Source organism: Homo sapiens, chromosome 3 (genome assembly GCF_000001405.40).
Source record: "Homo sapiens chromosome 3, GRCh38.p14 Primary Assembly".
Classification (NCBI taxonomy): domain Eukaryota; kingdom Metazoa; phylum Chordata; class Mammalia; order Primates; family Hominidae; genus Homo; species Homo sapiens.
Genome location: NC_000003.12, coordinates 197270957 through 197296789, shown reverse-complemented (window position 1 = coordinate 197296789; position 25833 = coordinate 197270957). Strand labels below are relative to the sequence as shown.

Sequence of the window (25833 nt, the reverse complement as noted above, 5' to 3'; positions counted from 1 at the left end):
TCAGGTAATCTGAAACTGTTGCTAATACTTTGATCTTTTACTTTGGCAAACTACCAGTACACATTTATTCCAAACTGCTCACTCTCCTCCGTTTTCTAATGTGATATATGTTTAAATTTTTCTTGTATTTCTTTAATTTTTTTTTTTATTTTTTGGTCATTCTAAGGAATATGTGTACATGAACATAGTGACATCAATTGACCTGAAGGATTTGCGGAACTATTTAGATGTCATGCAGAATTATTTGCACTAGTATGTGATACTTTTTTTGTAAATAGAGAGTTTTAATCAGGCTCTGCTTTTTCTTCTCAGATACCCAGAGAGCATTGCACCTTTTGGAGGAATATCGTTCAAAACTAAGCCAAACTGAAGACAGACAGCTCAGAAGTTCCATAGAACGGGTTATTAACATATTTCAGAGCAACCTCTTTCAGGCTTTAATAGGTGGGAATTAAAACTTCGTAACTATTATGCCAGCTAGGCTTTATGCTCCTCTCAATTCATTTATTTTAAACTTAAGAAAATGATGTACTTAATTCTCTGAGGCATTCGGTAACTTGAACATCTTCAGTGAGTTGTGTGTTTTTCATAGGCCAGTGTCCTTTCTTAAAATAACTAGTAACCAAAAAACTTTCAGGATTATTTCAGTGGCTTTTGAGAACATTGTTTCACATCTTAATAGCATTAACTATTAAAAGATGTTGCACAGATGTTTAAGGACCTAAAAGGTATGACTGAGTTACTGTGAGCTTGTTTCTGTATTTGACTGGCATGTCTCTGAAGTCATTGAAAGCGTGTGAAGGGTTCTGCTGTGTTGAAGAACATTCATTCCCTTAATGTAGATTTCTGTTTGAGCTTGGCATTCATGGAGTCAGAATTTTAGACCTGGAAAATAATCTTAGAGATGATCTTGTCTAGTAACCGTATTTTACAGGCAAGAAAATGGAAAGTTTTATTCTTAATTGTAACTTAATTTGAAGTGGTGCATTGTTTGAAAGAACTGGAAAAATAAGAGTCCTGAGTTCTTTTGCCACTAATTGAATGATATATCCCAAGTCATTTAATCTTTTCTATGCCACCATATTAGCTGTAGAATGTAGCTGTTGAAATGACAGAATGGGTTTAAAGCCTTTTTTAAGTAGATAAATCATTTTTAAAAGCATCATCTCATATTTTGTGTATAATCTCCTATGTATAAAACAAGGTGACTTGTCTGGCTCTTTTGTCCAGGTACCTCAAAAAGTTTGCAAACCACCGAACTAGAAAGTTTGTCTCTTCCAATTCTAAGAATGAAGTTTTTTTTTTTTGTTTTAGTTATCAACTATATAACATTTTAACATAAGAAGACATATACTTAATTATATTACATTTATTTCTTCAGTAACTTCCAGTCAGATATGGCCTTACATCTATCTGTTGATAGAATAATTGTTGGTGTGATTTGAAGACTACTTTCAAGTCAGTGTGTCCTGTCAGGTACATTATTGATAAATGGATGCTCTCTACGGTTTTAGAATGAAAGATTTTTGTAAAGACCACTTGATGCACCTGAACAATTTTGAAAAATGTAACATTTTAATAGACTTTTAAAAACATAAGGATACATAGCACAGTGTAATGAACTGCCTTTTAACTGTTACCCAGCTCCAGAAATTCACATTTTGCCATTTTTGTTTACATTGATGGACATTTTTTACACATTTGAATTTCTGAGGTTTAAGGTCCGAATGGATGATCAAATTGGATTCCTCTGGAAAAACAGCAAAAAGCATTTTTTAGTTATTTGTTTTCTAAATCAACATTGAGCCTAGTAATTTGGTGCAGTTACTGTTGCAAAAAAAGTATGTTTTTTCGCAACAGTATAGAGATATATATATACATATATGTATAGATAGGCAGATAGATAGACTGCAGACTTTTCTTTGTGTGATGGCTGTAACTTAAGAAAATTAAATCGTTAGTGAAATAACAGAATCTACATTTATATTTCTGTCTAGATTGGGGATGGGTTTGCTGTGTTCAGAGACATTTTTGACCTATTCTGCCTTGCCTGTTTTGAATGTGTCTATTCTTACGTACAATTGAACTTTGATAGAGTTAGCTTTCTTCTCTTTTTTTTTTTTTTTTTTTTTGAGGCAGAGTCTCACTCTGTCACCCAGGCTGGAGTGCAGTGGCGAGATCTCCGCTCACTGCAAGCTCCGCCTGCCAGGTTCACGCCATTCTCCTGCCTCAGCCTCCTGAGTAGCTGGGACCAAAGGTGCCCACCACCACGTCCGGCTAATTTTTTATTTTTTGTATTGTATTTTTAGTAAAGACGGGGTTTCACTGTGTAAGCCAGGATGGTCTCGATCTCCTGACCTCGTGATCCACCCACCTCGGCCTCCCAAAATGTTGGGATTACAGGCGTGAGCCACCGCGTCTGGCCTAGAGTTAGCTTCCTAATTACTAAGTTTATATTTGTGAATCTTCTAATTTCATTGGTTGTGAATTTACTTTGACATTTAAATTTACTTATATTTAATGTTCTATAGGATGTGGTACTATATCACATTTTGGTGTAAGACAAGTAATAGATTTTAGGAGTTTTGAAATAGATAACGTTTAATAGAGGTTCTGTGTGTTTCCATGCTATAATTGTTGATACTACGGAATAAATACATTCTCTTGTGTTTCCTGAATAACTTTTAATACTTAGTCTGAAAATGTTTAGTCTGATAAGATTTTCTTTGTATTTTGCAACTCTACCATTGTTTTGAAACAGTGTCATAAATGTACTTTAAGCTTGTAAACTGCCCTAAGCTAAACCAGTTCATTGTGTCCATAGTGTTTGCAGAAAAATCCGACTCAGAAGACAGAGTGCCACTTACTGAAAGGTTTTTTCTCTCAGTAAGTGGCACTCTGTCTTCTGAGTTGGTACCTGTGGACCACTGGATTAAAGGAGAACAGGGGTCTTGGCCACCTGAGCTGTTTGGAGTCATTGAGTGCTTAGATTTTTCACTTCCTTAATTTGGAAATCACTTGTTTAGGCCGCAGTGAGTTATCTAGTTATCTGTTTGGGGTGCCAAGTGTCTTTGGATTTTCAGTCTGCATTGATCATTTATTGATTGATTCTTTGAACTGGTAGTTTATATTGACTTTTCATGCATTTAAAAAAGTTTGAGTCTCTAGGGGTTTGGTGTCCCCCCCTGTAGTTGATACATAGATTAGGTTCCTGTACTTTTGGATTATTCAGAGGGACAAGCATGTACGTACTGTATTATATTTGTTCTAAAATACCAACTGTTAAATATTTCAATATCTGGTATATGTCATTTTTAATTGACAGTGTTTCTGTGTTCTGACACATGAAATAGTGCATTTTATAATTGATACTCGCAATGTAATATAGAAATCATTGGTCTAGTGCTGATAGATACTTGGTAGTATCTTTGAAGGATGGCTTAAAGATTTAAAAATTATTGAAAGCAGAAAAGTTTTTACTAATTTTGAATTTCAGCTGATGTATTGTTTCTTTAGAGCTAAATATTTAAAGTTGTATCTTAACAAAAGTCCATGAACTGCACATTTGTTTAAAATTTACTCCCAAAACATACCTGGTGATTATTTTTGTATAAAGGAAGATAAAGTCTGCTTAATTTCACTCTGTGATTTAGGTGAGAGCAATTTGAAAACTTGCTTTTGTATTCCAGTTTTTTGTGCTTAAGTTTGAAAATTTTTTGAGTAGACGGGATATGGTTTGATTATAATCAGAGCCCAGGTATTCAGGTCCATAGTGGTTTCAGTTCATTCATGATTCTAAGGTGTGTGGGATCTGAGATGACACTGCTAGTCCATAGAGACTTCATACCAGTCTAAACCCCTGCAGTTATTTCTTACGGGATCAGAGAACTCATCTGCTTTCCTTGTGCATGAGAAAAACTGGGGCCCAAGATTAGGCTGGCTTTAGAGACTTGAGTAAGTTGAGTCATGTGATTTGTATATTTTGTCTGCAATAAATAAGCTTATTCTAATGCAGTGTTTTATTTCTGCAGAGATTTCAGAATGAAAGTGGATTATGTAATAATACTGTCCATTTATGAGTTTAGTTACCAGTTCATTTGTTGCCACTCTATTAAAATCTAATAGTTTCACTAGCCCTTATAAAAGGACATTACCCTATCTTTATTTGTAGATACTAGTTTCAAAAGTATGACCCCTTTGCCATCTTCACCATCTTTAAATGTACAGTTCAGGAGTGTGAAATGTATTCATATTGTTGTGAAACAAATCTTCAGAACACTTTCGTCTTGCAAAACTGAAATCCTATACCGAATAAACAACTGCTCCCCTTTCCTCTCACTTCCCAGCCCCTTGTGACCAACGTGCTGCTTTCTGTTTCAGTGAATTTGATCATGTTAGAAACCTCATAGAAGTATTTGTCTTTTTGCGACTGGCTTATTTCACTCAGTGTAGAGTCCGCAAGGTTCATTCATGTTGTAGTTGTTGACAGGATTTTCTTCCTTTTTCAGGCTGAATAATATTCCGTTGTATGTATATACCGCATTTTATCTAGCCATCCATTGATGGACAGTTGGGTTGCTTCCTCCTCCTGGCTGTTGTGAATAATGCTGTTAGGAATGTGAGTGTGCAAATATTTCTTCAAGACCCTGCTTTCAGTTCTTTTGGATATTTACCCAGAAATAGGATTGTGGGATCATACGGCAGTTACATTTTTAATTTTTTGAGGGCCCACCATAATGTTTTCCATAGTGATTGCAGCATTTTACAGTCTCACCAGCAGCACACAGGATTTCCAGTTTCTCCACATCCTTGCCGATACTTAATTTTTTTCCTTTCTTTTTTTGATAATAGCCATCCTAATAAGTGTGAGTATATGACTCCTCTTCAAGTGTATGTAAAACATAATAACCAACATTTATTGAGCACTTTCTATGTGCTAATACAAATATATCATTTAGTCATTGTAATCCTGTGAGGTGTACATTCACCTGTATGAGGTGTTTGTACTGTTTTATAGACTGGAAAACTGAAGCACTGAGAAATGACCAATCTTGCCCTTGGACCCTCAGATGCTAAATTGCGGAGCCAGAAATTGAACTCAACTAATCTGAATCCATAGATACTTCTCACCGTCAACCATTGGGATATTCTTTATCGTTGTTTTTCAGAACTGAGTATTTTAATCTGATAAAGAATACTAAATGACAAGCATGCTTAAGACAGATAGCAATCTTTAGGGTTAGTAATCTTTAAATGATTGTCACTTTGAAGGAAAATATTTATAATGGTGCATTATGTTTATGATGATGGAAATCACACATTTTGAAAACAGTGTTTAGTAATCAGGGTTTGAGATCTTCCAGCTATAGTGGTAAAATGTCAAAATTTCTTAAATTTCTTTTGCATTATATTAGTCCCACTGATGTTACATTTTAGTCTCTTGCTAACTGTGTGTGTGTGTGTGTGTGTGTGTGTGTGTGTGTGTGTGTAACTTTGTAGGCTAGATTTGAGTAAGGAAAACAGGATATGGATCACATCGTTGGCTGAAACTTCCTGAAATGGAGAATTTTAGTAACTTCTCACTTGATGGTTTTGATTCAATTAGATTGAGTTCTTTGCTCATAGTTTGCTTACTACTGCTCTGAAGCAGTGTTTTGATTATGTTGAATCTGGCTGAATTCTCTTTAGAACCTTGGAATCAGAGTTGTAAAGGCATCTAAATATTTCTTCTAAGCCATTTCCTCTCTGCAGGGTCATATTTTTCCTCAGTGCAGAATCCAGACTTGGACCAGATATTACCGTTAGTTGTCACGTCTCTTTACTTAGGGCACATTTCCACAGCTTTTCTTTGTCTTGTGTGAGACTGACTTTTTTTTTTTTTTTTTTTTTTTTACTATTTGGAGACAGGGTCTTGCTCTGCCACCCAGGCTGGAGTGCAGTGGTGGCTTACTGCAACCTCTGCTTCCCAGGCTCAAGCAATCCTCCTGCCTCAGGCTCCTGAGTAGCTGGGACTACAGGTGTGAGCCCCCACGCCTGGCTAACTTTTTCTAGAGACAGGTGTTGCCCAGGCTGGTCTCGAACTCCTGAGCAAAGTTCTGGGATTACAGGTGTGAGCCACTGCGCCCAGCTGAGATTGATGATTTTGAAAAACGCAGTTCCTTCCACTCTTACTTTTTTTTAATATAATTTTCTCATTTTGGGTTTGTCTGATGTTTCCTTGTGATTAGATTCAGGTTTTGTATTCCTGGCTTAGGATTCTGTACATCCAGAGGTACACAGAGTCATCTGCTCTTTGTTGATGATACTGATTTTGATTACCTAGTTGGGTGTTGTCTGAATTCTGTATCCTATAGTCATTGTTTTTTACCCCTTGTGGCTTATAGGCAATATGTGGGGGAGACACTTTAACACCATGTACATATCCTACTCCTTAGCAAAATTTCCACCCATATTTAGCATCCATTGATGATTCTTGAACCGGTTTATAATATGGTTGTTGAAAAGTAAGATTTCTAACAGTAACACTCCTAGGTTTACCAGTTAACACTTTGCATTTTATTCTAAACAAGAGCCTTCCTTCTTTTTTTCCCGTGTCTTTCATGAACTTGCAGATACCTGTTTTTTTTTCAATGACTTATCATTTATTACCATCCTTAATGACATTTGTGCTCTGAGTGATCCAGTGGGGGCCCTTTCAAGCTTGTGTCCTTATGAGATGCCCTCATCATTTTTTGGAGCACTTTCTTAATTTTTGGCATAACAAGATGTTCCAGGTTTATCTTGTACCTCTCCTGCCCCAGCCCTGGAATCAGCCATTTCTCTGAGAAGCTCTGGTTCCTTTTAGTACACACCTTGTTTTATGGAATATGCTTGTGAGTCATGTATGATTCTTAGTCTAATAGTATCTAAAGTATTCAAGTGATTTATTTTTGCCTACTAGCTTGACATCTTTCCTTTCTTTAGTGTGTGAAACAATAGTACAAACTTTTAAATTTTATAGGATATTCTTTCTTCTAGGGGTCAAAAATGACTTTTTAAATGAACATTGGTTTAGAAGAAAGAGTATTTGTGCTTGAGTAGATTTGACTATTGTGGTATTATCTTAGTATGTCATCTGCCCTTCACTGATGATGTTAATTTTGATTACTCAATTGGGTATTGTCTGAATAATCATACTTGCTTTTAGTAAATGAACTGATAGAATTTTTTTCCTCTGAAATGGTAGGGTTATATTTCAGTGTTCTTCAGCTTTCTAGTTGCCTTTCCTGTAACCCTCCAAAATAAATTTATTATAAAAATGATGCATGTTCTATATAAAACATTTGAGATCAGATTATTATATGTAAAATACCATAAGAAAATATTCACACCAGAGGTTACCTCCTACTTCATCCATGGGATGAATATCCTGGAATGTTATTTGTGTGTGTGTGTGTGTGTGTGTGTGTATGCGCGTGTATACACGCCACCCCCCACCTTCATTTTGCAAAACAAACTTCTAAGTAAAACAGTTATTTCCCTTGTGAGAATTGATACTTAAAATCAGCATGTAAGGTGAAAAACCTCATCTAGTTAAAATTATCCCTGAAAAGCCTTCAGAAATTTAACACTAGCTCTTGTTAATTACAGCACAATTGTTTTTTTTCCTCTAGTGGAAAGGAATGATTTCTTCACTTGAGCCCTAGACGAAGCAACTGGCTTGTTTGACTTCTTGTACTAAAAACACGTAATTATAGAATCACACTCAGCACAGTGAGATATAGCAAGAAGCTCACATTTTGAGAGGCACATGAAAACTCAGACTACCTAAAGGAAGAATCTTCTTCCTTCTCATTTTTTTATTTGTGACAGTCACTTATTGGGTAGACAGAGTTGCCCTTTTTTGCAGGGGAGATATACTGCAGTTGTATTTGTATAAGTGTGAATAGTATGATTTCTCTGTACTATACATATTGTTTTTATCTTCTAAAGTTTATCGACAAATGTCTTTCCATGTCAGTAGATTTCTACCATTTTATGTATGTATGTATGTATGTATGTATGTATTTTTTTTTTTTTTTTTTTTTTTTTGAGACAGTTTCACTCTTGTTGCCCAGGCTGGAGTGCAATGGCTTGATCTCAGCTCACCACAACCTCCGCCTCCTAGGTTCAAGCGATTCTCCTGCCTCAGCCTCCTGAATAGCTGGGATTACAGGCATGTGCCACCACGCCTGGCTAATTTTGTATTTTTAATACAGACAGGGTTTCTTCATGTTGGTCAGGTTGGTCTCGAACTCCTGACCTCAGGTGATCCGCCCGCCTCAGCCTCTCGAAGTGCTGGGATTACATGCATGAACCACTGTGCCTGGCCAGATTCGTACCATTTTAAGTGACTGTGTATATAGATTTTTTTTTTCCTTTTCTTTTCTTTTTTTTTTTTTTTTTTTTGAGACGGAGTCTTGATCTGTCACCAGGCTGGAGTGTAGTGGTGCAATCTCGGCTCACTGCTACCTCTGCCTCCTGGGTTCAAGTGATTCTCCTGCCTCAGCCTCCTGAGTAGCTGGGATTACAGGCGTGCGCCACCACGCCTAGCTAGTTTTTGCATTTTTAGTAGAGACAGGGTTTCACCATGTTGGCCAGGATGGTCTCGATCTCTTGACCTCCTGATCTGCCTGCTTCAGGCTCCCAAAGTGCTGGGATTACAGGTGTGAGCCACTGCACCCGGCCTATATAGATTTTCTGTAGTTTTTTTAATGGTTTCCTAGGAGCATTTAGGTTTGTAATTTTTGTGAATTATAAATATTGTATTTGCATATGCATTTTTGTTTCAATTCTTTACTATATTCTTAGGACAAACTCCTAGAAATGAATTGTTTGGTCAAAGGGAGTGTGCATTTTAAGGCTATTGAGGTAATTTGTTAAATACTCTTAGGAATGTTGTATTTATTTTTTAGGAAGTATGTGGAAGAATGACCAATTCACCATACCTTAAGCAATACAGAGTGTTATCCATCTTTTAAATATTTTCTACTCTGATATATGGAATATACCTTTAGTCATTTTTCTGTTTTATTGTGCATTTTGTTGATTAAAGAAATATCCAAAGCTGTAAGAAAGTCTTTAATTATTTTAATTTCTTTTGTAAATTATCTGTTTAATTTGTGCCCCTTCCTCCTCCTTTTTCCTTTTTCTTAGAGGTATAAAATCTACATTAGGCCTGTCAACTCTGCCGTGTAAATTGCAAATAACTTCCCGTGTTACTTGCTTTTAAACTTGGCTTTTAAAGAAAACATATATATATATGGTTGGGTTTATCAATATTTTTCTTTATCAATATACTGCTTTCTGCCCTTAATACGTTTGGAAACATTCCCAATGCTCTAAGCCCCAACATTATTATAATCTATTGCCAAGATTGTAAAAACCTGTATTCAAATTCTTTCAAGACTTTAACATTTTAATGCATTTGAAAATTATCTTGATATAAAGTATGAGATTGCCTTTTAATATAAGTTTATTTATCTCTCATGCAGTTTAAGAAATTAATAGATTTTTTTCAGCAGTTTTGAATTTACAGAAGAATTGAGTGGAAAGTACAGTTCCCATATCCCAAAGCCCCACTTCCCTTTTCCATCTTGTAGGCCATGTGTGGTGGCTCAACGCATGTAATCCCAACATTTTGGGAGGCCAGGGTGGGAGGATCCTTGAGCCCAGGAGTTTGAGACCAGCCTGGGCAACATAGTAAGACCCTGTCTTAGGAAAAAAAAAAATTTAACCAGGCATGGTGGCATGCACCTGTCGTCCCAGCTGCTTGGGAGCCTGAGGTAGGAGGATTTGTTGAGCCCAGGAGGTGAAGGCGCTACTGTACTGCAGCTTGAGTGACAGAGTGAGACTCTGTCTCTTTAAAAAAAAAAAAGGCCTGAGCTCAGGTGGCTCTTGTATATAATCCCAGCACTTGAGGAGGCCAAGGTGGTGGAATTGCTGGAGCCAGGGAGATAACAGCTGCAATGAGCATGATCATACCATTGCACTCCAGCCTGAGTGACCCTGTCTCAAAAACAAACCTTGCATTAGTGTGGTATATTTGTTAAAATTGATAAGCCAATATTAATATATTGTCATTAGCTAAAGCCCATACTTTACATTAGTAGTCACTCTTTGCATTGTACATTGACAAATCTGATGTGCACATTTTTTGCTTTGACACGTATCCACTATTGCCGTATTGTACAGCAGGGGTCCCCAACTCCCGTGCCACAGACCTGTACCTGAGCGGCAGGCGAGCGATTGCCACCTGAGCTCTGCCTCCCGTCAGGTCAGTAGCGGCGTTACATTCTCACAGGAGCATGAACCCTGTCGTGAACTGCGCGTGCAAGGGATCTAGATTGTGCACTCCTTATGAGAGAATCTAATGCCTGATGATCTGAGGTGGAACAGTTTCACTGCAGAAGCTCCCCCACCCTCTTTTCTGTGGAAAAATTGTCTTCCATAAAACCGGTCTTTGGTGCCAAAAAGGTTGGAGACCGCTGTTGTTTTTCACCACCCTAAAAATCCTGTGTGCTCTTCTTCTTCTCCGGTACCCCACTTCTACACCCCCCACACAAACTCCTGAAAACCACTGATCTTTTTACTGTCTCCATAGTTTTGCCTTTTCCAGAATGTCATAATTGGAATCATAAGTATGTAACCTTTTTAGATTGGCTTTTTTCAGTTAGTAATATATTTACGGTTCCTCCATGCCTTTTCATACCTAATAGCTCGTATCTTTTTATGACTGAATAATATTCCATTGTGTGGACATACTACAGTTTATCTACTCACCTGTTAAAGAACATATTGGTTGCTTCAAAGTTTTATCAGTTAGTATAAAGCTACTGTGAGCGTTTGTGTGCAGGGTCTTGAGTTGACTTAAGTTTTCAGCTTGTTTGGGTGAATACCAAGGAGCGCAATTGCTGGAGCATATATAGTATGAGTATGTATAGTTTTTAAGAAATGCCAAAAGTGCCTTCCAAAGTGGTTGTACCATTTTGCATTCCTGTCAGCAATGTGTTGCCCTGTGTCCTCACCAGCATTTGGTAGTGTTGGTGCTTTGGATTTTAGCCATTTTAATAGGTGTGTAGTAGTATCTTGTTTTAATTTGAAATTCCCTGGTGATATTTGATATATGCTCACTTGCCATCTCTGTCTTTGGTGAAGTGTCTGTCTGTATCTTTTGCCTATTTTTTTATTGGATTGTCTTCTTATTGTTGAGTCTTAAAGAATTTTTTGTCCACTTGAATATTAGTCCTTTATTGGGTATGTGTTTTGCCAGTATTTTCTCCCTGTCTGTGGCTTATCTTTTCATTCTCTTTTCCCCATCAAATAAAATTATTATCTTCTCATAGATTAGAAATGTCACCGGTATTATGTTAAATTATTACATACTCTTGGGCCTGTATTTAGATTTTCTCCCCTGACCCTAAGTTAGTATTGCCTTATTTCTTTAGTTTGAGAAATGTTTCTTGGCTTGTGGGTTTCTCTGTTTAAGATTATGTAAGTTGTCACCAAAAGCTAGAATGTTTCTTTGCCTATTTGAAAGTTCCCTTTCTCCCATTCCTCACCCCCTTTGAGAGTATTTCTGGGATTCTGCACTTTCCCTTTACTCCCATTGTTTGCAAACTTTGAATTCTAGCAAGAAAATAACAAAGGTAATGAAAAATTTTTATGTAAAAGAAAATTATATATTTGAAGGCTTCTGAAATGTGTGATCTTGGAGATTTCCAGTTTTTTTTTTTTTTTTTTTAATAGATAAGAATGATTCTGGCCTCTTCTGTTGGACCTAACTGCTTTTCTTCAAGTTTGATTTTTGGAGGTTTCTTAGTGTACATGTTAGAGCTTTGTGTGGTCTTGTTTAGATCTGCGTTCAGGAATCGGACTTGTGGAAACCCAGTTTAGGCCAAAACAGGGAAAGCACTTGCAGATTATGAATGGAAAATGAGGAATAGACTGTGATAAGATTGACCGAGTAGGTTTCAACAAAATTAATGTTTTCAGTTGTGAGTCAACCAAAATCTAATTTTTTCCTAATACATATTTTAGTATTTCTGCATTTTCTTGTTTTCTCTTCTTGCTTGCTGTAGTGTATCATTATTTTCAAAGAAAATAATTTTTCGCAGGGTAGTAAATAAAAATGTAATAGGTGATTTCAATTCTTTGGTATTTGGTAAGCTTTCTGGATCTTCAGATGAATATAGAATCACTTGTAGCTATTGGCAGTCTCTTGACTACCCCTCTGTGCTCCCATTTTCTTTACATTTTCATGGTGAAGATTTAAGTTTAGAGTTGTACTCAAGTTAAATTTTTGCATAGGTTTATTGAAAGACTATCATTTTATACTAGGTAGTAAATTTGGCAATTCCTGATAAAATAGTATTGAGAGAGATGACTTTTGAAGCATTATTTTGCTATAGTTGGATTTTGTTTTACATAGTGTGATGTGTGTGTGTTTGCGTGTATGCATAGCACATATGTGTGTGTGCGTATGTGTGTATATAATATTCTTAACACCCTGTGAGGTAGGTTAATATTATCCTCACTGTACAAGTGTTAGTTTTTACCAGCCCTTTACTTGGAAAGTTTTGCAATTCCACTGGTTATTAAAACTGAAAGGGGGCTGGGTGCACTGGCTCACACCTGTAATCCCAGCACTTTGGGAGCCTGAAGCGGGCAGATCACCTGAGGTCAGGAGTTCGAGACCTGCCTGGCCAACATGGTGAAACCCTGTCTCTACTAAAAGTACAAAAATTAGCCAGGCATGGTGGCACGTGCCTGAAGTCCCAGCTACTCGGAGGCTGAGTCAGGAGAATCGCATGAACCCAGGAGGTGGAGGTTGCCGTGAGCCAAGATCATACCACTGCACTCCAGCCTGGGCGACAGAGCGAGACTCTGTCTCAAAAAAAAAAAAAAAAAAAACAACCCAACTGAAAAGGGAGTTAAGTTTGTCTCTATTTTGTGAAGTTTGTTTTTAAAAGGACTAATGCTTTTAAAATAATGAGAAGCAAGAAGTCTAAGTTATTCTGTCTAAATGTTGCTTACAGTTATGAATTATTCTATACAGGGTAATGCCCACTTTTACTATTCCCTTATCCAAAATTATACAAGTTGGTGAATAAGGAATTAAGCGTGGTGAATCTAAGCGTTATATAACTGCTACTTACAGCTTCGGAATAGCGGGAATAATTAGTGTTAATAAGTTTTTATAATTCTAGCTGATTGCAAAGTCATTTGATCTTTTAAATTATCCTGTGCTATTATAAATAAATTTATCATTTATTTTAGAGTTTTGTCATGACTTTAACTGATTGTTTCTAAAGTAGTATAAAATATTTAATTTACTATTATAAAATATTCAGACTAGAGGATATCCGAAAGCCCTTCTAGTTCTTTGATTTTAATTTCCTCTTTTTTTTTGGCTTTGGCTTTGGCTAGAAGGGCAATTAAAACCACTTGAGGGATTTACATTCCCAGCTTAGATATTGGTGGTGAACGGTAATAACTCCTATCTGTAGAATTCACAGTAATGATATTAGCTACCATCTGTTAGGAGCCTATTCTGTGCTATAGTGCTAGGCATCTTATATGTATTATACTTGAGCCTTGAAACAATTCACAGTGCTAAGAGGCAAGTTACCAGAGGTTAAGTAGTTTGCCTGAACTTGTAGCTAGTTGGTGATGGAGTTGGGATTTGAATCAAGTGCTGACTTTGAAGTGTAAAAAGCCTATGAATTTTACACTGTGCCCTGCAGGTTCTGATATGATTGTGATATAATGAAATAAGATAATATTCACTGTTTAAGTACATTATACGATGGGAATTGATTTACTAATCTAGAGTAAAAATTGTGCTTTTGAGTTATGTTGTTATAGCATTGCATAATTTAGTTAGAAAATATAAATACTTATGAATTTTTATTTTCCTTCTTCTAGATATTCAAGAATTTTATGAAGTGACCTTACTGGATAATCCAAAATGTATAGATCGTTCAAAGCCGTCTGAACCAATTCAACCTGTGAATACTTGGGAGATTTCCAGCCTTCCAAGCTCTACTGTGACTTCAGAGACACTGCCAAGCAGCCTTAGCCCTAGTGTAGAGGTGAGATAAAAAATGTGTTCTGAAGCTGTTTTTTGGTGATCAATTTATTTATGTTACTATGTTTCTTTATTTTATTAAAATAATATTTTATACAAGTGGATTTTGTTATGGAAGTATAATTTATAATAGAATAAAGAGAATGGGGTTAAAAATATTTTTGAAAAGCAAAGCTCAGATTCTCTGTTGCCCCTGTTTTAAAATGTTATGAATGTTTGAAGTCTGAAATACTTGATTTAGACTATTAAAAAATTCTTTGCATGATAGACCTCAACAAGGCTTCATCTGTGTGGTAATTAAAATGGAAATGGTACTTTGAAAAGATGGTTTTGCTCTGGTATTCTTTCCTAGAAATAGGATATAGTTTTGTGGTCTGGGCTGCTAAGTTGTACCCATTTACCTCAAGGAATCTCTTCTTTATTGGCTTGAAGGATGGCATTCAAACTCACTAGAGACTGAAGAGTAAACCTGAACATCAGCACTGGTTTCTACATTTTCTGTAAAGTTATTTCTTTGAGTATTCATAACTATCTTAGTAATATACTTTTTTGTGTGTGTTATACTGTTGCCCAGTTGGATATGGTATAGCAGAGGTATGAAGCAGTTTGTAACAAAGATTCTGCCTAAGAAGCATTAGTCATTTGAAAGTGGTTATTTGTCTGAATTTGAATCTAGTCCTTTCTAGTTAGTGTAAGATGGTGCTGTGCCTGGAAAATGCGATGTTTCTGTTTGGTGAATAATAAATCAGGGAAAAGTGGTGGTAGGCCTCAACCAGATAGCACTTTGGTAAAGAAGTTAGATGGCTTCTCAGTTTTAAGTAACAGAACTATAGAATTTTAGAGCAGGAAGAATCGGAGCACATCTGATCCCTTGTCTTCATGTTAAAGATGAGGAAACTGAGATCCATAATAGAATAACTTGACCCACTTTATTTAGCTAGTTTGGGCAATTATACCTTTGAATTTCAGGACTCTTAACACCCAACTCACAGTTCTCTTTATTAATCCTAGACCTTGTATGTTTCTTTTTGATTAGTGTAATGTTTATTGTGTATATCCTTATTTTCTTTACACTTTTTTTCCATCACTTTTTCCAGGATAATTTCCATTTCCATACTCTTTGGGTTAATACATCACTTGCTTTTATAATAGTCTGAGGTCTATTTCAAATGGATTTTTAAAATGTCTTCAGTCAGTCACTGCTGTGGTTTGAATGTGTCCCCTCCAAAATTCAGGTGTTGCCAATGTGAAGATAATGAGAGGTGGGACCTTTAGGAGGTGATTAGGCCATGAGGACTCCTCCATCCTTCATGGGATTAAGGCCCTTATAAAAGAGCCTCCACAGCTTGGGCACGGTGGCTCATGTTTATAATCCCAGCACTTTGGGAGGCCAAGGCGGGTGGATTGCTTGAGGTCAGGAGTTTGAGACCAGCCTGGCCAACATGGTGAAACCACGTCTCACGTCTAAAATACAAAAATTAGCTGAGCATGGTGTCATGCACCTGTAATCCCAGCTACCAGGGAGGCTGAGGCAGGAGAATTGCTTGAACCTGGGAGGCGGAGGTTGCAGCGAGCTGAGACGGCATCACTGCACTCCAGTCTGGGCAACAAGCGAGACTGGCGATAAGCGAGACTCCGTCTCAAAAAAAAAAAAAAAAAAGAGCCTCCACAAAAAGTTTAGCATGTTAGCTTAACTTTTTGCTTTCTGCCATGTTGAGATGTAACAAGAAGGCCCTTACCAGATCAGATACCTGGATCTTGGACTTCCCAGCCTCCAGAATTGTGAGAAATTATTTTCTGTTTTTCATAAATTACCCAGTCTCAGGTATGCAGCTGTAGCAACACAGAAGGGACTAAGACAGTTATTTCACATTTATTGTCTTAGTTCTAGGTTAGAAAATTGCTTATGTAAAAAACATGTTAAACTTTAAGAGAATTGAATTGCTTACTAGTATTTTTTATTGTCCGATTTATGATACCCTTGATTATAAAGCCTCGAATTCTTATACTCGATTTACTTATTTTTATAGGCGATTGTTTAAGTAATGTAACCATTGAAAGTGAATATTTGACATTATTGGTGGAAATGTAAATTATTACAGCCATTATGGAAAACAGTATGCAGGTTTCTCAAAAAAACTAAAAATAGAACTGCCCACCAGCAATCCCATTAGTGGGTATCTGTCCAAGAGAAAGGATATCAGAATATCAAAGGGATACCTGCACCCCCATGTTTATTGCAGCACTATTCACAGTGGCCAAGATATCAAATCAATCTAAATATCTATCAACAGGTGAATGGATAAAGTGTGATACACACACACACACACACACACACACACACAAAATGGACTACTATTCAGCCATAAAAAGAATGAAATCCTGTCATTTGCAGCAACATGGATGGAACTGGAGGTCATTATGTGAAATTAAGCCAGGCACAGAAAGATAAATATCACATGTTCTCATGTGGGAGCTAAAAATGTTGATCTCATGGAGGTAAAGAGTAGAATGATAGTTACCAGAGACTGGGAAGGGTGGGAGAGGGAAAAGATGAAGAGAGGATGGTTAATGAGTTCAAAAATAGTTAGAAGGAATACATTCTACTGTTCAGTAGCACAGTAGGGTGACTACCGTTAACAACAATTTATTGTCTATTTCAGAATGGTTTAGAAGATTTGAAATGTTCCCAACACAAATAAATGATAAATGTTTGAGGTGATGGATATTCTAAATACCCTGATTTGACCATTACACATTGTATGCACGTACCAAATATCGCATGTACCCTATAAATACATACCATTATATATCAATAATAATATTTTTAACTGTAAGTATTCTTTAAGATTGGAAAAGTGGACAGTTTTGTAAGCTGAAAGTTTTTTTCCATATAGATTTCATTCAGGAAGATCAGTAGTGCATTGAATTTCATCAAAAATGGCATTGGTAACACTTCAATTTTTATAAAATGATGAGGCACTCATATCTAGAACGCTATTTGCAGCTCTGGTTTCTACACCTCCTGAAAGATATATTATGAACATGGTAAAGGCACCTCAAGGGAATAGGAGAAAAAGAACTTTCATATTGTGAGCGTCAGATCTTATTAGTTTGGAAAGTAGATGAGAAGAGAATATGGTCACAGAGTGTTGTTTAGCGCATGGCACATGGAAAATGCTGTAGTAATGTTTGAAATCTGTTCATATTCATGAATAGACTCTAAGGGGAACATTGGGATATGTCCATCAAGGCCTAGATGTTTAAAAAGTAGCAAAAACCTGTATATATCAAACTGGAGTGAGCAAAGTCAGTTAGTAGGAAGTACCATCTTATAGAGATGACAGAAAATCCTGACAAATGTTTGTCTGAAAATGTAAATAGTTTTGAAACACACTGATGGATGATATTTATAATGATTTTTTAAAAAACCTGGAATGTTTGGGGATTTAATTGCTACTTTTTGAAGGTGCTATGAGAGAAAGTAAGCATGTTCCCTTTCACCCATCCATTCATGCTTCATTTGGAAAACTTGGCTAAGTGATCATTTGATCTCTTGTTTCATTTGCTACTTTAGACTCTTGGGGCATGATGTTTAGGACTAAAAAGGGACTTAGAGAATCCACTTGCTCAAAACAAATAACTTAAAACTTAAAGTTTATTGTACTATAACTTGAAAAATTTGAAAATCAAAACCATTTTGTCTTAAACAGAATTTAGGTTATACTTGTGTACTAATTCTTGGATATAGTAATCTTTTCCAACAAAATTGCATGCAACATGCCTCTTTGACTTCATGTTTGCTTTTGCAGGACTAAAAAGAGGATTATTTTTGCTAAAAGTAGTTAAGATTGCTCAATTTTCACAAAGCCTTGACTGTTATTCTCTTAAAATGCAAATCTTCATCTTTAAAGCAGCTATCCAGTTTTGTCTTTTTTTTTTTTAAGTTCACTGATCTAATTCTTGCCAGGTCATTTGTCAGTTACTTTGTGACCTTATAACTTTGTTTGTTCTATTTCTTCTGATGTAGTAAATTTAAAGGGACAGGATTAGTATCCCATTTTCTTAAAAAAATTTTTTTTGTATATATTATCTTTTACTTTGAGCATATGTCTAGTGAGATGTTTGGAATAATGTTTGTTTAGTGTTTAATGATTGTTTCAGAGTGATAGGGATTTTTTTCTTTTTTGTACTACTTTTTTTGTTTTTTTAGAAACTGTGTCTCACTCTGTCACCCAGGCTGAAGTGCAGTGGTGCGATCATAGCTCACTGTATCCTCAAAACTTGGGGGCTCCAGGGATCATCCTGCCTCAGCCTACTGAGTAGCTGGGCCTACATGTGTGCACCACCACACCCAGCTAAAATCATTTCTTTTTTTTTTTTTTTTTTTTTTTTTTTTTGGGACAGAGTCTTGCTCTCCCACCGAGGCTAGAGTGCAATGGTACGATCTCGTCTCACTGCAACCTCCACCTCCCAGGTTCAGGTGATTCTTCCACCTCAGCCTCCCGAGTAGCTGGGATTACAGCACCCACCATCATACACGGCTAATTTTTGTATTTTTGTAGAGATGGGGTTTCACCATGTTGGCCAGGCTGGTCTCAAACTCTTGACCTCAGGTGATCCACCTGCCTTGGCCTCCCAAAGTGCTGGGATTACAGGCTTCAGCCACCATGCCCGACCCCAAAACCATTTCTTTAAACAGTTTTTTGAAGACTGGGTCTCACTATGTTGCCTAGGCTAGTCTCAGACTCCTGGTGGTGGTCTCCAGCAGTCCTCCCACCTCAGCCTCCAGAGTAGCTGGGATTACAGGTGTAAGGTACCACACCCGGCTCTCTCTCTTAATTTTAAAAAATAACACATCATTTTTATAAGAACAACTCTATTCTAAAATAAGAGTGAGTTAGTTTTAGAGATTATAAGAAAGGATATAGACTTAAAAAAAAGCAAGAGTAAAGAGTAGGAGGAATTGCCTGATTTAATGGGATATTTCAGTAGAAAAGGGTTGATTTATAAGGAAGGATAGATGACTCTTAAAAAGATGAGGCCAGGCCTGGTGGTTCACACCTGTAATCCTAGCACTTTTGGAGGCCCAGGCAGGTGAATCACCTGAGGTCAGGAGTTCAAGACCAGCCTGAGCAACATGGCAAAACCCCGCCTCTACTAAAAATACAAAAATTAGCCAGGTGTGGTGGTGCGTGCCTGTGGTTCCAGCTGCTTGGGAGGCAGAGACGTGAGAATCGCATGAACCTAGGAAGCGGAGGTTGCCAAAGAACCCAGGAAGGCAAGATCGTACCACTGCACTCCAGCCTGGGTGACAGGGTGAGACTCCCTCTGGAAAAAAAGGCAAGATGAAAGAGTAGGAGGAATTTCCTGATTTAATGGGACATTTCAGTAGAAAAGGATGCACCCTACTCCTAACATCACAATACATTTCAACTAGACTAGAGATTCAAAGGTTAAAAAAAAAAAAACCATAAAAGTAAGATTTTGGGGCTGGGCGCAGTGGCTCATGCCTGTAATTCCAGCACTTTGGGAGGCCAAGCTGGGCAGATCGCTTAAGCTCAGAAGTTCGAAACCAGCCTGGGAAACATGGTGAAACTCCATCTCTACAAAAAATGCAAAAATTAGCTGGGTGTAGTGGCTCCCTCCTGTGGTCCCAGCTACTCAGGAGGCTGAGGTGGGAAGATCGCTTGAGTCCTGGAGGTCAAGGCTGGAGTGAGCCAAGATCGTACCACCGCACTCCAGCCTGGGCGACAGAGCGAGACCCTGTCTCCAAACAAGAAAAAAAAAGTTAAAAATTAAAAAAAATAAAAATTTTGATTTTTAATAAGGAAGGCTTTTCTAACCATGACCAAAAAACACCACAAAAATTAAAAGGTTAAAAATGCTGCTGACTTTATAGAATTTCTTTGTGGACTTTGACTTCAAATTTTGATTGTAGAACTTCTGAATCTTGAAAGATATAATACAAAGATAAATTATATATTAGGATGAAAATTTGTCACATATATGAAAAAGGATTAATTTTAATTTCCAGTCCTTTCAACTTAAGAAACTTCTTATAGAAACTAAGAAAAAGGCCCGTGTTCAATAGGAAACTGACTTAACAGTGTGAGTATTGTAGTTTGAAGAAGAAGAAATAAATGTGGGCCAATAAGCCTATGAAGAAATGCTCAGCCACACTTAAAAATGCAAATTACATTGACAGCAAGGATATTTTTAACAAATTTGATTGTCAGAGATTAAATAAATAGGAGGAAACAGAAGCTCCTGTACAGTTAGTAAGGGAGAATACAGTAGTGCAACTAATTTGAAAGACAACTTTATATTCGTATCGTTTGATCCAGCATATGCTCCAGATTCACCACAGATTATTGAAGGTATTTGTACAGGGATGCTCACTGCAGCCTTAATTAGTAGAAACCAACAAGGGATATAAAAGATTATCGGTAAGAGATCGGATAAACACATTATGGTAGAGCCATTTAATGCAAGATAAAGTAGCAGGCAAAATATATTCTGTGTATCCATTATGTGTTATTAAATGAGTGAAAGCAGGTTACATGTCAGGAGGCATAGTATGACTGTGTGTGAAAAGAAAACCATGAGGTTAGGCATGTCTGGAAGAATATACACATAGTCTGCTTTCAATAGTACTCTTTTAAAATTGATAAATAATTATACATATTTATATGGTGCTTGTGGTATTTTGATACATGCATACCATGTTTAATGATCAAATCAGGGTAATTGGGATATCCATCATCTCAAGCATTTATCATTTCTTTGTGTTGAGAATATTCCAGATTTTCTCTTCTAGCTATTTTGAAATATACAATAAATTGTTGTTACCTATAGTCACCTACTGTGCTATTGAACACTTCTAATTGTATTTTTGTACCCATTAACCAACTTGTCTTCCTCCCCTCCTTCACTGTACCCTTCTCAGCCTCTGATAAACTACCATTCTACTCTCCAACTCCATGGGATCAGCTTTTTAGCTTCCACATATGAGTGACAACATGTGATATTTGCCTTTCTTTGTCTGGCTTATTTCTCATAAGATATCCTTCAGGCTCATCCATGATGCTGCAGATGACAGGACTTCATGCTGTGTTATGGCTAAATAATATTCTATTGTCTATATATGCTACATTTTATTTATCTATTCGTCTGTTGAGGGACACTTAGGCTAATTCCCTATCGTGGCAGTGGTGAATAGTGGTGCGATAAACATGGGCATGTAGATCTCTCTTTGATATACTGGTTTGTTTTCTTTTGGGTGTATACCTCGCAGTGAGAGTGCTGGATTAAATGGTGGTTGAGAAATGACCATGCTGTTTTCCGTAATAGCTGTACTAATTTATATTCCCATCAGCAGTGTACCAGAGTGTCCCTTTCTTTACATCCGTAGCCAGAATCTGTTATTTATGGTCTTTTTGATAATAGCCATATTAAGTGGGGTAAGAGAATATCTTTTTTCTTTTTTTTTTTTTTGAGACAGAGTCTTGCTCTGTCGCCCAGGCTGGGGTGCAGTGGCGTGATCTTTGCTCACTGCAAGCTCCACCTCCCAGGTCCAAGCAATTCTTCTGCCTCAGCCACCTGAGTAGCTGGGACTACAAGTGTGCTCTGCCATGCCCGGCTAATTTTTTAAATATTTTTAGTAGACACAGGGTTTCACTATGCTGGCTGAGCTGGTCTTGAAGTCCTGACCTCGTGATCTGCCTGCCTCGGCCTCCCATGTGCTGGGATTACAGGCGTGAGCCACCGTGCCCAGCTTATTATGGTTTTGATTTCCATTTCCCTGAGTATTATTAGTAATGTTGAACATTTTTTCATATACCAATTAACCATTTGTATGTCTTCTGAGAAATGTCTAATCTGATCATTTGTGCATTTCAAAATCAGATACTTGCTTTTTTGTTGCTCCTTATATATTCTGGTTATTAATACTTGTCAGATAAATTGCAGATATTTTCTCCCATTCTGTAAGTTGTTTCATCACTCTGTTGGTCGTTTCCTTTGCTGTACAGGATCTTTTTAGCTCGATGTTATCTCATTTACCTATTTTTGCTTTTGTTGCCTGTGCTTTTGAAGCATTACCTAAAAAATACTTGCCCTGACCAACATCCTGAAGCATTTCCCCAATGTTTTCGTATCGTATCGTGTCGTGTCGTGTCGTGTCGTATTGTATCTTTTCAGGTCTTAGATTTAAGTCTTTAATCTATTTTGATTTGTTTTTTGTTACGTTTTCATATTGTGAGTAATGGGAGTCTAGATTCATTCTACATATGGATATCCAGATTTTCCCAGCACCATTTATCGAAGAGACTGTCCTTTTCCCATTGTGTGTTTTTGGCTTCTTTTTCAAAAATGAGTTGGCTTAAATGTGTGGATTTATTTCTGTGTTCTCTGTTGTGTTCCGTTGGTCTGTGTGTGTTTTTACATCAGTACCATGCTCACTTGGTGACTGTAGCTTTGTAGTAGGTCAGGTAATGTGATGCCTCCAGTTTTATTATTTCTGCTCAGGATTGTTCTGGGTATTCGGAGTGTTTTATGATTGTATATGAATTTTAGGCTTGTTTTTTCTATTTCTATGAAGAATGTCACTGGTATTTTATTAGGGATTGCATTGAATCTGTATATTGCTTTGGTTAGTATGGACATTTTAACAATATTAGTTTTTCCAATCTATGAACATGGGATATCTTTCCATTTTTTTTGTGTCCTCTTCACTTTGTCTTAGCAGTGTTCTAGAGTTTTCATTGTTGAGATCTTTTACTACTTTGGTTAAATTTATTCCTAGGTTTGTTTTGGTTTTTTTTTTTTTTTTGGTAGCTATTATAAATGTGATTGTATTCCTGATTTCTTTTTTGGATTGTTTGGTGTTGGTCTATAGAAATACTACTGATTTTTTTATGTTAATTTTTGCATACAGCTTTTTAAAAGTTGTGCCTGTTATTTACAAGTCCCCCCTTTCAGCCCTTCAGTGTTTATCTTATTGGGAGGGGAGTTTTCTGACTGAATGGTGTTAAGGGATACTTTTCCCTTTCTCTTTGACCTTGTGGTTTAATATTTTAAAATAAGCCATCTGCTTTAATTTGAGTGGAGTTTTAGGAGGCAGTAGAGTTAAAAGTATATATTCAGCCGGGTGCGGTGGCTCACGCCTGTAATCCCAGCACTTTGGGAGGCAGAGGCGGGCAGATCACTTGAGGTCAGGAGTTCGAAACCAGCCTGGCCAACATGGTGAAACCCCATCTCTGCTAAAAATACAAAAATTAGCCGGTTGTTGTGGCGGGCACCTGTAATCCCAGCTACTTGGGAGGCTGAGGCAGGAGGCCTGGGAAGCAGAGGTTGCAGTGAGCCGAGATCACATCACTGTCTTCCAGCCTGGCTGGCAGAGCAAGACACTGTCTCAAAAAAAAATAAAAATAAAAATAAAGAAAAAAATATATATATATACACACACATACACACACACACACACACACACATATATTCAGTGTACCAGGTTTAATCTGAAGTCCTCTAAACATTGACAAAAAATTTACTGAAATACTGTATAATATTCTTACATAAAGATACACAAATAATAAAGGAATAGGTTGATTAATTACTGCATTGTGAATATACCAGGTCAAGAAAAAGAACATGGAATGACTGCTAACAGGTTCTGGAATTAGATAGTGATGGTAGTTGTACAAGTCTATGAAAATATCAAAAATCACTGAATTGTACACTTTAAAATTTGGTGAATTTTATAGCATGTCCATTTTATCTCAGTTTAAAAAAGAAAAATACCAGTACCCCAGAAGTCTTCCTTGTACTCTCCCTATTTACTACCTATCCCCTCTTCCTCAGAGGACCATCCAAATTTCCAACATCATAGATTAGTTTTGCGTTCTTTTAAATTGCATATAAAGAGACTTACACAGTGTATATACCCCCTTGTGTGCTTCTTTTTTCTTATATTTGTGCATTTCATCTATGTAGGTAAAGTTTTTTCATCCTTACTGTTGTATGATATTCCATTGTATGATATACCAGAATATATTTACACATTCTGCCATTGATGGTCATGTGGATTGTTTCCAGTTTTGATTAGTGTTGCATTGAACATTCTTTTACATTCAGGTCTGCTGTAACAACAGATAACTTTCCTAAAAATCACCACACTATGAAAAATGGCACAATGAAAACCACAGGTGTTATTTCAAAAATGAGGGCAGGGACCAAACACTTAAAACTTTGTGAGTGACATATTAAAAGAGATTAAAACCTAATAAAAACAACAGCACAGTTTTATGCTTTTTTTTTTCTTTTTTTTTTCCTTAGAGGAGGTCTTGCTTTGTTCTTCAGGCTAGTGTGAGGTGGTGTGATCATAGCTGACTGCACCCTTGAACTAACGGGCTCAAGCTATCCTCTGCCTCAGCCTCCCAAGTAGCTGAGTTTATAGGCGTGAGCCACTGTGCCCAGTTTATGCATGTTAAGTGGTGAATAAATATGTGAATACTACAATCAATTTGGCATCTTACCTTGGAAAAAAACTCAGCTTTGCTTATAGGAGTGTGTTGCAAAGAGTTGCAGCTTGTGAGTTACTGTGATGTGTTAGCTGGGGGAGCTATCTGAAATTGGATGAGAACTTATAGTAGCACCAGTTGTAGAGGAGTGTGGATCATAAAACTCCCATAAACTAAAGTCGCTGGTAGATGTCTGAGGTGTGTGCATTTTGTGTATTCTTAGGTGGCTCGTATCCTCTGGGTACAGTTTTTTGCCTTCACCTAGTCTTTCTCACAGACAAGATTGTGCTTGCTTTTCCTGTATGTGTGTATTTTTTGGAACTATTTGAAAATCAGTCGTAGACATCATGCACTTAAACTATTAAAACTTCAGCACGCATCTCGTAAGAGTAAGAATAGTTAGATATTCTTCTGTGTTATCTTAGTACCATTACCACATCTGAGAAAATTAGCAATAATTGTTCAGTTTTCTCTCCAATCTCTATTCAAAATTGTCCCCAGTCTATTTTGTGGGACTTGAAAAAAATCAGATAAAGCAGATAAATCAAATACATACCATTTATGCATTTGATTGTTAGGTGTCAGTACACATGCCATTTATGCATTTGATTGTTAGGTGTCTGTTTTTAACTGGGTTTTCCTAAAAGCAGAACCTGAGGCAGAGGGCTTAGGTGCTATTAATTTATTTAGAGAGTTCATTCCTAGAGAGCAGAAGTGAGGGAAAGTGTGAAGATAGTATAGGAAGGGGAAAAACTAATACAAGGATGCTTCCTGCCACTAAGTGTGACTGATTTTTGTATCCTTGGTATTGCATCCCTGAGAAGCCATTTGTACTGCATGTTAGGACTCTGCAAGGAAAGAGAAAGAATTTATCTACTGGCTTCTAGTGGGCAGCAGTTCCCCCATACTTTAGGGTTGTGGATTTGTCAGTGTAGGTGATTTATCAGGAAAGCCCCAAGTGAGGGGGTGAGAGGAGGAGATGTGGACTGGGGGCCACAGGCATGAAGTGTTCCTGGGGCTGCTCAGGATGAAAGGTAGGTGTGAAGATCTGGGGGTGACTGTTGGAATGGGTTGGGAATACACATACCAAATCTGGTACAGTGTCTCTAGTCTTTTGTAATCTGATAGAATAGTCTTCCTTATCTTCTTTTCCCCCCCTTTAAATGACATTACCTTTTTGAAGAGACCATGCCAGTTGTTTTATAG

At 37.1% G+C, this 25833-nt stretch overlaps 1 protein-coding gene and 1 non-coding gene across 38 annotated transcripts in view; both read left to right on the top strand.

The window, feature by feature from the left end:
• DLG1 (discs large MAGUK scaffold protein 1) overlaps nucleotides 1–25833 on the top strand; it is a 256762-nt gene that overhangs the window by 2532 nt on the left and 228397 nt on the right. For all 37 annotated transcript variants that reach the window (NR_158764.1, NR_158765.1, XR_007095643.1 and 34 more), the window contains exons 3-4: nucleotides 313–444; nucleotides 13945–14111. Coding sequence is in view for 33 of the 37 variants with exons in the window: in NM_001366203.1 (NP_001353132.1) it covers nucleotides 313–444; nucleotides 13945–14111 (299 nt within the window). In the remaining 4 variants the exon portion in view is untranslated. The remainder of the gene's footprint in view (nucleotides 1–312; nucleotides 445–13944; nucleotides 14112–25833) is intronic.
• On the top strand, nucleotides 2842–2912 carry MIR4797 (microRNA 4797). Its single transcript, NR_039960.1, has one exon. It is a non-coding gene; the product is annotated as a microRNA 4797 (primary transcript).